Source organism: Homo sapiens, chromosome 4 (assembly GCF_000001405.40).
Source record: "Homo sapiens chromosome 4, GRCh38.p14 Primary Assembly".
Lineage (NCBI taxonomy): Eukaryota > Metazoa > Chordata > Mammalia > Primates > Hominidae > Homo > Homo sapiens.
The window spans coordinates 22,424,470-22,436,826 of record NC_000004.12 but is presented as its reverse complement, the minus strand read 5'-3'; the positions used below and the strand labels follow the sequence as shown (position 1 = coordinate 22,436,826).

The following is a 12,357-nucleotide window of genomic DNA, read 5'->3' as shown; positions in this document are numbered from 1 at the left end:
CATTCTCAGTTTTGGAGACATAGAGTTCAAATAACAAAGGTTTCTCCCAGCCCAGTTTTGATGACCCGTGTCAGGGTTGTATTGACATGACACATCTTCATCTTTGATTTTTTTCTCTGCTGTTGTTATTCTTGATGTACCCGTGTCATTTAGATTTTCTTGTACTATTTTGTCTTCATCTCTAGATGGCCCAGAACATTGGCAGGCATTACTGCATATCTGCAGTGTACGCGGAACACCCATGGCAGTGGGATATATCCCGGAAACCCACAGGATGAGAGAAAAGCTTGGCGCAGATGTGATAGAGGTGGCTTTTGGGCAGATGATGATTATTCTCGCTGTCAGTATGCAAATGATGTCACTAGAGTTCTTTATATGTTTAATCAGGTAACTAGAAAGTCTTCATGTTTACTTGGGTTGTGGAGAAAACATGGTATTCAAACCAAATACATAAGTTTTTTTTTTTTTTTTAATACTAGGCAAAACATAAGGATTTTGTGTTTTTACTTTAGTTGACTTAACTGTCTTCAGGATCAGGTCCATCTTAATCACTAGTCAAGGCCCTCTATAGAATCCTTCCTTTGCAGTCACCATCTCCCTTTGTGCCTTTGTTTGAATATCTTTTTTTTAATCTGTATCCACCAGACAGAATCCTAACCATCCTTCGAGTTCACATTGAAAGCCACCTCTTGGATTCATTTTATAATCACTTTGTTGAAAGCGATTGCTTAGAATACTTGAACTACTCATGTGCTTTTTGTTATCTTTGCTTCTATGCATCTTTTTAAAACTTACCAGACTATAAGCAAGTGGAAGATGGCTTTTGTGTAATGTATTTTCTTTTGCCCCTTAGCACCTGGTAAAAATCCTTTTGCAATGTTAGGTGCTAAGTCCGTGTTAGAGTCAGTAGATAAACACATGTAAAACATTACTGGCAGTGCATGGCAATAAAGATAAGTGCCAAATAAGTAGTTCGTACTCTTGTGCAGTAGGAGCTCCAAGGGAGGTATTGATCATTCCCAGCAGGAATACTCAGGAAAGGCTTTATTAAGCAATTGGAGTTGAGGTATGTGTAGAATTTGGATAGGCAGAGAAGAGATAGATGGTGCAACATGTTAACCTCATGTATTTTTATGTATTATTGTATTTCACTCCAAGCTTGAAAAAATTTCCCTCCAGTGAGTTTCCATTAAAATTCCAGTTTTCTTGGGTTTGTAAAGCATTTTAAGAAGGCCATGATGAGTAAATAATAAAGTTTTTAATTCGTTGCTGTTTTGAAATGCAAAGTTAAAATGTCAGGATTGTGTTGATCATTTTGCTAATGACTGTTTTGTTGATCATTTTTGCCTTTGAAATGTAGATGCCCCTCAATCTTACCAATGCCGTGGCAACAGCTCGACAGTTACTGGCTTACACTGTGGAAGCAGCCAACTTTTCTGACAAAATGGATGTTATATTTGTGGCAGAAATGATTGAAAAATTTGGAAGATTTACCAAGGAGGAAAAATCAAAAGAGGTACTTCTCTAAATTCAGATTTGTAGCATACAGTGTCAACAAATGGTAGTGTGACAGAGTTCAATCTATGTATTTTAAGGCCTGTTTATGTTTATCATATTTGAGCTAAAAGCATGCTTTTAAATTTCCAGAATTTTATTGAGATACTTCTGCCTCTTCTCTTATGACCTGTTTGCTGCTGGGACCGGGAGAGGTGAACTCTCAGTTCTTGGACGTTAAGGTCCAGAGATACAGCAGAGGTCGCTGGTGAGAAAGCAGTAAAAGCAGTGTTCTGCCTCCACGTTGTGGCTTAGGCAGAGCTGCTTAGCTCAGCCTGCTGGATTTCTCTTCTCCACATATCCTCGTGCTCATCTTTTGTAACGGGAGTTTTAGTCACCCAGATCTTGTAGTAAATTCCTTTTAATTGTCCTTGTAATGTCCTAGAGAAATGAGAGGCTGTTTAGGCACTTTTTTGAAATTCAAAATGATTGGACTATACAAGTTTTAAAAAATGCAGTGAATTCTAAAAGTGGCGTATTTTAACTTAACGGGACCACATTGAAACCATGATATGCTTGTCCACATGATATCTTTTAGGGGAAAAAAATTGACAAGCACAGTTTACAGAATGAATGAGCAGCAAATTAATGTTTTGAATAATTTTCAAGGGGCAGAATTATTGTGTTCTTAAACTTTACGTTTAAAGCTTCGTGAGAACTTTATATGTACAATTTCTTTTGTGATATAATCACTTATAAAGAAATTAATTATAGAGGTAGAGGGAACCTCAAGCAAGTTGTAAACTGAAGCCCACGCTTAGGTTAGGGCACGCCTGGAAAGAGAACCCAAGATCCCTGACTCATCCATAAGAGTTTTCTGTAGCATCACATTCACCTTCCCATACAATGTGGCCCTGACTTGGAACTCTAAAAGTGCTCTGTACACAACTGTGAGGAAAACACTGGGCTAAACAAAACCTGCGTATTTCTTTATGTAGAACTTCTCAGATCCATTAATATTGCTAAAATGTAAATAATAAGCCTTATTTTCCTGAATCATTCTAATATATTTTTATATATCAATTATATATACACACACTTATATATCACATATATATTCTAATATATTATATAATATATATTTAGATATATCTAATGTATATTACATATTTATGTATCTAATATAGATATATTGTTATATATAATATATATATAAGAATTAGTACTTGCAATGTGGTAATAAGTTTTTGAAACTGTGGCCCTAGTGCATTAGGCACTTTACTTGATAGGATGTAGTTATTAAAGGAAGGAAAATAGATACATGTATATAAACGGGACTTAGGCAAATAGGCCACCTCACTTGTCAGCGGGATAACATTTCATTTGTTTTCTGAACTTCAGGGGCCATGATTTTTTCTAATAACTGCTCCTGATACTTGATTGTGTCTCCAGGGCACAGCCCACTTTCCTGCAGTGAATTTTCCTTGCACTGGGAGAGGCCGTTTGGGTTCTGGCTCTGTGATTATATTGTGCTCCATTGTTGCTTAAGATGACAGGGTTGGTGCCCACAGGATTAGCAGTCATTTCCGGGAGTGGGATGTTTCTAGTTACTAGAATAATTGTAATGACATTTGGAATGTGGACATGGAAGAACATTCGCCATCGAAGAATACATGTTTATGATGTGAACCTGTTTTGCTCACCTCCCAACTTGAGCAACGTGGTGTCCAGAGGTGTATGTTGAACTGTTTGCCAGCCTGTGGAAGAGTGGTCGGCTGCGTTGACGGGTTCTTAGGTGGAAGCATTGTACTGAACTGGAAGTAGACATGGTTTCATTAGTTATTAATTAACCATGGGCTTATTCTTCATTTTTCAAATGGGGATGCTATTTTCTCTGTATAATTTGAAAAGTGTATGTGCACAAATACAGGCGAACAGTTTTGCAAAATAGTTGCAAAGCTTGGATATCATTTTATTAGGTTATGAAATATAACATTTTTATGACCTCAGAAGCTAAGAAGGAAGTCCTTTTAAATAATCATGAGTGCATCAGTTAGTTCTGTAAAAATTTAGTGTGAAGAAGATTGCTGTCACTTTTACTGGTTAACATAGGACGGAAAAGTTATGTTATCTTCGGAAGCAAGTGATGGCAACTTACTAACTGTCAGCACGAGAAACAGGAAAATATTCAGGATTGAATAATTGAGATATAAATGTGATAATATTGCGTGTGATGCAGTGACTGACATACAGTTCTTTGGCAATTTGAACCACAGGCCATAGCTTTCACCATTTATTAGTGTAGTGAAAAAAACTAGGAGGCTTGAGGGCTTCATTTTAAGTTAATTACCACAGCATAAAATTATGCCAAGTTATCCTAAAATGCACCTAGCTTAGATAGAGAAATAATTAATTAAATTGATTTTTGTATTATGTCTGAAAGTTATTCTTTTATGAGTGATTTCATAACAAAAGTATTGTGGGGGAATTGCTTTTTAATCTGTGATTGAGCCTGGCCAACACAAGCTGGCACTTTGTTGTCTCAGGATAGGCATTAAAAGCTCTCAAACTGCCAGATCTAAGTGATATATTTAGTGGATCCTTTTAAAAACAGTTAAAGGTTGTCTTGTCAGGCAACAGAAGTGTCTGTTATGTATTTACTAAAGTGATTTTTCTTATGAAAACAATATGCATATTTTATAAGATGGGAAAGTTAAATATAAAGATTAGATCTGATGATGCTTTCTGGCACCCTTATTGTCTCTTATTTTAAAATATGTGAGTGCGATATGCGCCTTACACTAGTTTATATATAGATTTTTACAAATATATGGCTTTTTCATTGATTTTAAAGTGTCATCGCTTCTGTATTGACAATTATGATTATTTTGTATTCTTTTTTTTCTTGATCTTACTTGCCAGACTTTTCTGTATTATTAAGCTTTTCTAGGACTTTGTTCGTAGAACTTCACCACACATCAGAATCACTTGCTGGATTTGTTATACGCAGTGATTGCTGCCTGAGTTCCCCCTCCCTGCCATTCCCAGTTGCCATTTCAGCAGGTCTGAAATGGGTTCAGAGAATTTGAATTTCTAGTCAGTTTCAGGTGATGTTTCAGGCAGCATGACTTTGATACTGGCTTTGAGAACCCCTGTAACAGCTCCATTTTCTATTGTTGCTTTAATTTTTTTTTAGGTGGGGGGTTTTAACTTTTTAAGAACTTTTTCTTGGAAAATTCAAAAGGATAGGAGAATATTATCATTAATACCTATGCTGTACCTCTGCTTGGCTTCAACAGTTTTCAATACAGCAAGCCCTCACTTAAGGTCATCTATAGGTTCTTGGAAACTGCAACTTTAACTGAAATGATATGTAATGAAACCAAATTGACCATATGCTAATTGATGTAAGTAAAACTTATAAAATCCCTAGAGATCATTTCTGGTCACAAAAATGTCACCAAACTTCCAAATAAAGACCCCAAACATTTCTAATATTAAACATTGAAATAAGTATGAGCCATACACATATTTAAGAAAGATTAATAAAAACAAGACAATTATTTACCCATTGTGTTAGTTTTCACTCTGCTAAAAATGACATACCCGAGAGTGGGTAATTTATAAAGGAAAGAGGTTTAATTGACTCACAGTTCAGCACATCTGGGGAGGCCTCACAATCATGGCAGAAGGCAAAGGAGGAGCAAAGTCATGTCTTACATGGCAGCAGGCAAAGAGAGAATGAGAGCCAAGTGAAAAGGGAAACCTCTTATAAAACCCCTTATAAAACCATCAGATTTTGTGAGACTTATTCACACAACAGCGGAGCAGTCAAATCTTAAAGCTCCAAAATGATCTCCTTTGACTCCATGTCTCACATCCAGGTCACACTGATGCAAGAGGTGGGTTCCCATGGTCTTGGGCAGCTCTGCCCTTGTGGCTTTGCAGGGTACAGCTCCCTCCCAGGTGCTTTCACAGGCTGGCATTGAGTGTCTGTGGCTTTATTGTACCCTTGTACAATATTGTTATATATAATATATATATAAGAATTAGTACAAGGCTTTTCCAGGCACACAGTGCAAGCTGTTGGTGGATCTATCATTCTGGGGTCTGGAGGACGGTGGCCTTTTTCTCACAGCTCCACTAGTTGGTGCCCCAGTAGGGACTCTGTGTGGGCGCTCTGACCCCACATTTCCCTTCTGCACTCCCCTAGCTGAGGTTCTCCATGAGAGCCCTACCCCTGCAGCAAACTTCTGCCTGACGATTCAGGAATTTCCATACATCCTCTGAAATCTAGGCAGAGGTTTCCAAACCTCAGTTCTTGACTTCTGTGCACCCACAATCTCAACACCACGTGGAAGCTGCCAAGGCTTGGGGGTTGCCCCCTGTGAAGCAGCAGCCCAAGCTGTACCTTGGCCCCTTTTAGTCATGGCTGGAGCAGCTGGGATACAGCTGCTAGACACCAAGTCCCTAGACTGCACACAGCACATGGACCCTGGGCCCAGCCTATGAAACCATCACAGGCCTGTGATGGGAGGGGCTGCGGTGAAGACCTCTGACATGCCCTGGAGACATTTCACCATTGTCTTTGGGATTAACATTCAGCTCCTTGTTACTTATGCAAATTTCTGCAGCCCGCTGGAATTTCTCCACAGAAAATGGGATTTTTTTTTTTCTATCACATTGTCAAGGTGCAAATTTTCCAAACTTCTGTGCTCTGCTTTTCTTATAAAATGGAATGCCCTTTACGGCACTCAAGTCACCTCTTGAATGCTTTGCTGCTTAGAAATTTCTTCTGTCAGATACCCTAAATCATCTCTCTCAAGTTCAAATTTCCACAAATCTCTAGAGCAGGGGCAGAATGCTGCCAGTCTCTTTGCTAAGATGAAACAAGAGTCACCTTTGCTCTAGTTCCCAAGTTCCTCATCTCCATCCCAGACCACCTCAGCCTGGACCTACAAGCCTCTAGGAAGTTCCAAAGTTTCCCACATTTTCCTGTCTTCTTCTGAGCCCTCAGACTGTTCCAACGCCTATTTGTTACCCAGTTCCAAAGTTGCTTCCACATTTTTGGGTATCTTTTCAGCATCGCCTCACTCTATTGGTACCAATTTACTGTATTAGTCCATTTTCATGCTACTAATAAAGACATACCTGAGACTGGGAAGAAAAAGTGGTTTAATGGACTTAAAGTTCCACATGGCTGGAGAGGCCTCACAATCATGGCAGAGGTCATGGAGGAGCAAGTCATGCCTTACATGGATGGTGGCAGGCAAAGAGAGAGCACTTGTGCAGGGAAGCTTCTCTTTATAATACCATCAGATATCGTGAGACTTACTATCACAAAAACAGCATGACAAAGACCTGCCCCCATGATTCAATTATCTCCCACTGGGTCCCTCTCACAACACTTGGGAATTGTGGGAGTTACAATTCAAGATGAGATTTTGGTGGGGACACAGCCAAACCATATCAATAAGTGTTGGTTGGTTGGGAGCATTAATGAGAAAGGTCTAATGTATCCTTAACTGTGATATTTGCTTGCTTCTGCCGAGTGCCAGTGTAGGGGGACTCATTTTAAAATTAATTTTTAGCTTGAGGTTTTTAAGAACACGAAAGTAGTATAAAGGACCTGTTTGAAGGTCAACTTGTGTTTCCAAATTGTCAGAGAATAATTTTTTTTTTTTAACCTCCTTCTACCTCTTGCCCAGGTCAAAACAGGCACGTTTCCTGGCTCTCCTTCCATGAAGCTGAGTGATTGCTGGCTAGGCCTGATGCTGGAGGTGGTGTCCTTTGAGTTTCTAGCTTTGTAACAGGGGGTCTTTTCCTGGTACCCTGTGTTGGCATGGCCTAGGCCCTGTGTGGAAGTCAAAACATACCTCGTGGTCATCAGAGTTCAACCTCAGAGCTCTTTGGATTTCTGCTGTTCTTTGGTGACTGGGTTTTGGAGGAGGATCTATTTTCCTACTTCTCAGTGATGCATTAACAAAGATAACTGTTTTCCTTTCAGCATTTTTTCACTTTCTGCTGGAGAGTTCTCCAGAGTACTCAGTCCTCTGTACTTCTAGAAAAGGAAGTGCACGTACGTGTTTGTAATCTCATTTATTTCAGTAACACCTTAGGGTAGAATCAGTATTTTGGCATGTTTTATCTTTTAATATATTTAATATTTACAGATTAGCACAATTACAACTAAATTTATTGTTCAGTTTTTTTTAAAGTTTTGAATGTGTGGACTTTATGAGGATCAAGCATGAGACCTGATGGTAGACACATCATCTCTCCTGAAGAATTATGATTATTACATGATCTGAGAACTCCTGCCATGCCTTATGTGCAATAATCTTCTTGACCTCTTTTCCCCTTCCACCCATTTCTTCAGTTCCTCCACTGTTACCCTCATCCTCATCATTCTCTTTACTCCTATACCTCAGTAAAATCAGAGCTTTAACCTTTGCCATAACCCTGATGATGATTGCAGTCAGACTCTTGTTGAATAGCAAATGCTTACCTAAGCAACCTGCTGAGAAGTCTGCAGAGGTATCCTGTGGCACGTAAAGCCAGATGTGAGTTAAGAGTGACAAATACACTTTTAAAACTTGACTTTCAGAATGCAGCAGTTCCATCATTAATCAGTGTAATAACATACCTTGAAATAGGTATGATCTCAGTAGTGTACTAAATTTGGAACTAGGAGAACATCGTGAAGACTACTTGAGCTTAATAGGATCAGCTGCTGCAATGATGATAATGTAGGTTCCTCTATTTGTCATCTCCAAAACCATTGCTCCACCTATGCATGTGTCTGTTAATTCTTGCTTTTCTGGTTGTTAGAATGAACAAAAGTATTCTTTTGCTACTCGATGATTGAAAATGTAAATATGGAACGGCCTAGATCACTTGGCCTTTCTCAAAAACTCCATGAATTGCTTAATTTATATTTTTACTGGGTATGTGAAGATATTTGTCTTCTGCTTTTTTTTTTTCTTATTTTACCATGGACTGAGATGTTCTGAGCACTTGTAGAGTTCTTGGTCCCATTTTACAAATGAGTAAACTGAGTCTCACAGAGGCTGATTTGCTCAGGGACATCTAAACTTGTGACAGACTTGAGATCTCAACCTAGGAGTATTTAACTCCAAGTCACATAGATATTATGTCTTCAGTGTTAAAGACTATACATTAAATATCATCAAGTTTAGTTTACGTATTATCTTGTATATTAATATGATAACATCAGAAATGTATTAAATTAGCAGATGTTTTTGACCTAATTTTGATAAAACTTCCAAGCCATTTGTATATTAAGAACTTGAAATATCCTGTCTCTTACAACATTTGACATTGAGCACTTTCATTGCCATTAATGTGGTGCATTTGTTTCTTCCCCATTTTATCTTCGATAAAGTCCATTTGCTCATGCTTTCGGTTGTTCCTCCCACTTTAGTGTGACAGGTGCAAGAACAGGTGGAGGAGTCCTTCTGACCCTTTTGTGGCTGGAGTGGCCTTCGGGGAATGAGGCCAAGGAGAAATCTGATGCATGCTCCTTACACTGGTTGCAGTTTTTAAATGAGCTTTGTGTGTCAAATTTCAGGAATACTTTTTTTAATCCAGTGTAATTTTTCATGCATTGTTACCCCTTTTGTGTCACTTTTTGCCACTGTGACATATTCAGAGCTACTTCTGTAACCAAGCTACAGAAGCATATAACATTTTCTGATTATCTGCTCTAGGGAATATTTTGGCAACAAATCCCTTTCCTCCATTCTTAGCCATTTGGAGTGAAATAATGAGAAAAATAGCTTGTTCTCAACTAAAGCAATTACTGTTGTTCGTCCTGTACCTTCTTAGAGATATTTGTTGTTTTTTTTTTTATAATTATTAACACAAGTTAATTTCTTTACTGGCATTATCTAGCAGGGCATAGCAGTAGTTCTTTGATCATGTAATAATGATGAATTTTTCAAGAAAGATGACGTGCCCATCAGATCTCATGTCAGGTCCCTATAAAATTCCTACATTTAAAACTTCAGAGAAGTATTAAACAATAAGTTTAGTTGTAACTTTGCTAATCTGTAAGCACTGCCTATATTTCAGTGGTGCCTTACAATAAAATCAATATTTTTGTGTATTTTAAAGTTTTGCATCCAGTGGGAATTTTATTAATATTTTTGTTAGCCATAAAGCATATTTCACCATGTTATCTCTTTTACCTCTTTTATTTTTGCATAAAATCTTCAAATAACAGTAAGTCAGAATAATAGACAAAATCTTAACTAAGTTATTCCAACTACTGTGAATTCCCATTAAGACTTTGGACTTACTAGTTTAGCATCTGTATAAACGGCTGATTGACAGATTCAGTAACTGACATAGCAAGAGTCAATACCCTTCTTTATAACTCCAGAAGTAAGGGCTTCTAGTAGAATGACATTCACCCCCATATCTGTCTGTTAGTAGGAACATGAACTAGGATGCTAATGTTCCAATGAATCATAAAAAAATGAACCAACTGAGGATTCTGCAGAGCTTGATTACAGGCTCTTCTTAATTATTTGTCATTTGATCTTGTTAATATCTTCGGTTTGGGGGGAAGTACCCCTTGAGAATGTGTTAGTTCATTAAAATAGGGTGTTTGGATTAAATTTCATTATTCTGTATCCTATATTTCTCTGCATATTTCCCTTGTAGCAGTTATCACAATCTAAATCACTTTTTAAAAATGGATTTATATGCTTGTTTTGCATTTTCTTCACCAGACTATAAGGTTGAAGATAGAGCTTGTTTCTTTCTTTTGCTGCTGTTGCACCAGTGTCTGGCTCACATTGGCCCTCAATAAATAGTCAGTGAACAGTAATCATGAACATTTAAAATGAATATTGATACATATCGGATACATGGACATTGATAACTGTTGGCTTCTGCATCAGCTCTTGTACTAGTGAATAAGGATATAAACGTAAGACATTTTGTTGTCTCTACCCTCAAGATGTTTACATTGGAGGTAAAATAAGGAAAAAGTTGTGATACATTATGGTAAGGGCAGTAAAAAGTCAGAAAACTTATTTTAATAGGATCAAGCTGGGGAGAGTGGGACTTTACAGAGGGTCAAGTGGCAGTTTAGTTGGATGCATTGGTCCTATTTTTACGTGAACACAGACATACAAATACAACCCTTCTACTACCTCTAGAGTCTATCATCTTAAAAGAGAGGCCAATTTCGGGATTAAAACAGTAAAAGCGCCAACATTTTTTGAGTGCTTGCCATGTGCCAGGCACGGTTTTAGGAACCTTGTATTTATTATTGGAACTTAATCTCCACAACATTCAGAAAGACAGGACTATTATTATCTGTAGTTACGAAGAAGGGAAGTGGAGATACCAAGAGGTGAAGTGTTCAGGCTAGGTACTCACGGTCAGCATTTGAAGTCCTGTTCTCATCTATGTATTTACTGTGGTTGCTTCACCCCGTGGTTCCAGGGTTGGGATCTGGTGGATTTCCAAAGGCCTGACTTTTTTGTAAAGTGAACCAGGGTGGGATGGACTGAACTTCTTCCAAACCCTCTTCAGCCCCCATAATTATACGTTGTGTGAAGTGTATTGGATACAAAACGGGATTGAAATCTCAGCGGAGATCTTCTGGGATGATCAAAAGACATCTCTTAAGACAGACCCGGCTTTCTGGCTTTGCACTGGGACTTAACGCCTTTTAATGCTTACTACTTGATTAGAGGTCCAGCCAGCTTGCAAATTGTCTGATCCTACCTCTGGAATGTTTTTGTTGCTCCTTCTGCTGCATGTCTCCCTCTTATAAACGTTTTGCTCAATACAAAATCCTCTTGACACCAGTACGTCTCATTAGCCCTAGACGGTTCAATTTATTTCTCTCAGGTGAGACGTATGAGTTATAGTAAACAATAGTTGGTTGACTTTTCAGTGGCATTTCCTGACAGATGTTTACATCTGTAAGTTACGAAGTGAGCGAATAAAAAGAATCCAGTAAATGAAACAAGTAAAACAAACAGTGGAAGAGTGCATTTATTTTATTGTATTAGATCTTAAAAGCATTCATTGAGTTGGGAGGAAGGGAAGATGCAGTTCATTCTAGGTATAGGAAACCACGTGTGCAAGGGGATGGGGGTGAGATCATACAACACATACAAGGACGTAGCAGTAGCTAGGCATCCCTGCATTGTTGAATATGAGCAGAGACTAAAGAGGTGGGTAGTATGCCTGCCTGCCTGCCTTTTTTTTTTTTTTTTTAAGAGTGTCTCACTCTGTTGTCCAGGCTAGAGTGCAGTGGCACGATCTCGGCTCACTGCAGTGTCTGCCTCCCAGCTTCAAGTGATTCTCCTGCCTCAGCCTCCCAAGTAGCTGGGACTATAGGCATGGGCCACCATGCCCAGCTAATTTGTTTTGTATTTTTAGTAGATATGGGGTTTCACCATGTTGGTTAGGATGGTCTCGAACTCTTGACCTCAAATGATCCACCCACCTCGGCCTCCCAAAGTGCTGGGATTACAGGTGTGAGCCACCACGCCCTGCTGGCGGTGTGTATTTCTTAATAATAATAGTTTGATTTAAGCTAATGCATGCACAAAAAGGAAGTGTTTATAAATGGTTTTCTAGATGAACAGTCAAGATCTTTTTATTCTGGTATTGTGTGACATCCTTTCCTTCTCTTTAATTAATCTAATTGCCTTTCTTTTCCTCCATTTGAGATAACACCTGGCAGTCTTTTCACCAGTGATGTGGTGGCCACTTACATATGCTCTTTTGAGCTAAATACCACCAAATGGCTATACTTGAAATAACTGTTCATATCTGAAGATGTTTTCATGAGAAACAAGTAAAGTGCCTGTTGGG

At 38.5% G+C, this 12,357-nt stretch overlaps 1 protein-coding gene across 6 annotated transcripts in view; it reads left to right on the top strand.

The window, feature by feature from the left end:
• The window catches only part of ADGRA3 (adhesion G protein-coupled receptor A3), a 128,691-nt gene that overhangs the window by 79,240 nt on the left and 37,094 nt on the right, over window positions 1–12,357 (top strand). For all 6 annotated transcript variants that reach the window (XR_007096381.1, NM_145290.4, XM_047449703.1 and 3 more), the window contains 2 exons: window positions 186–387; window positions 1,361–1,516. Coding sequence is in view for 5 of the 6 variants with exons in the window: in NM_145290.4 (NP_660333.2) it covers window positions 186–387; window positions 1,361–1,516 (358 nt within the window). In the remaining variant the exon portion in view is untranslated. The remainder of the gene's footprint in view (window positions 1–185; window positions 388–1,360; window positions 1,517–12,357) is intronic.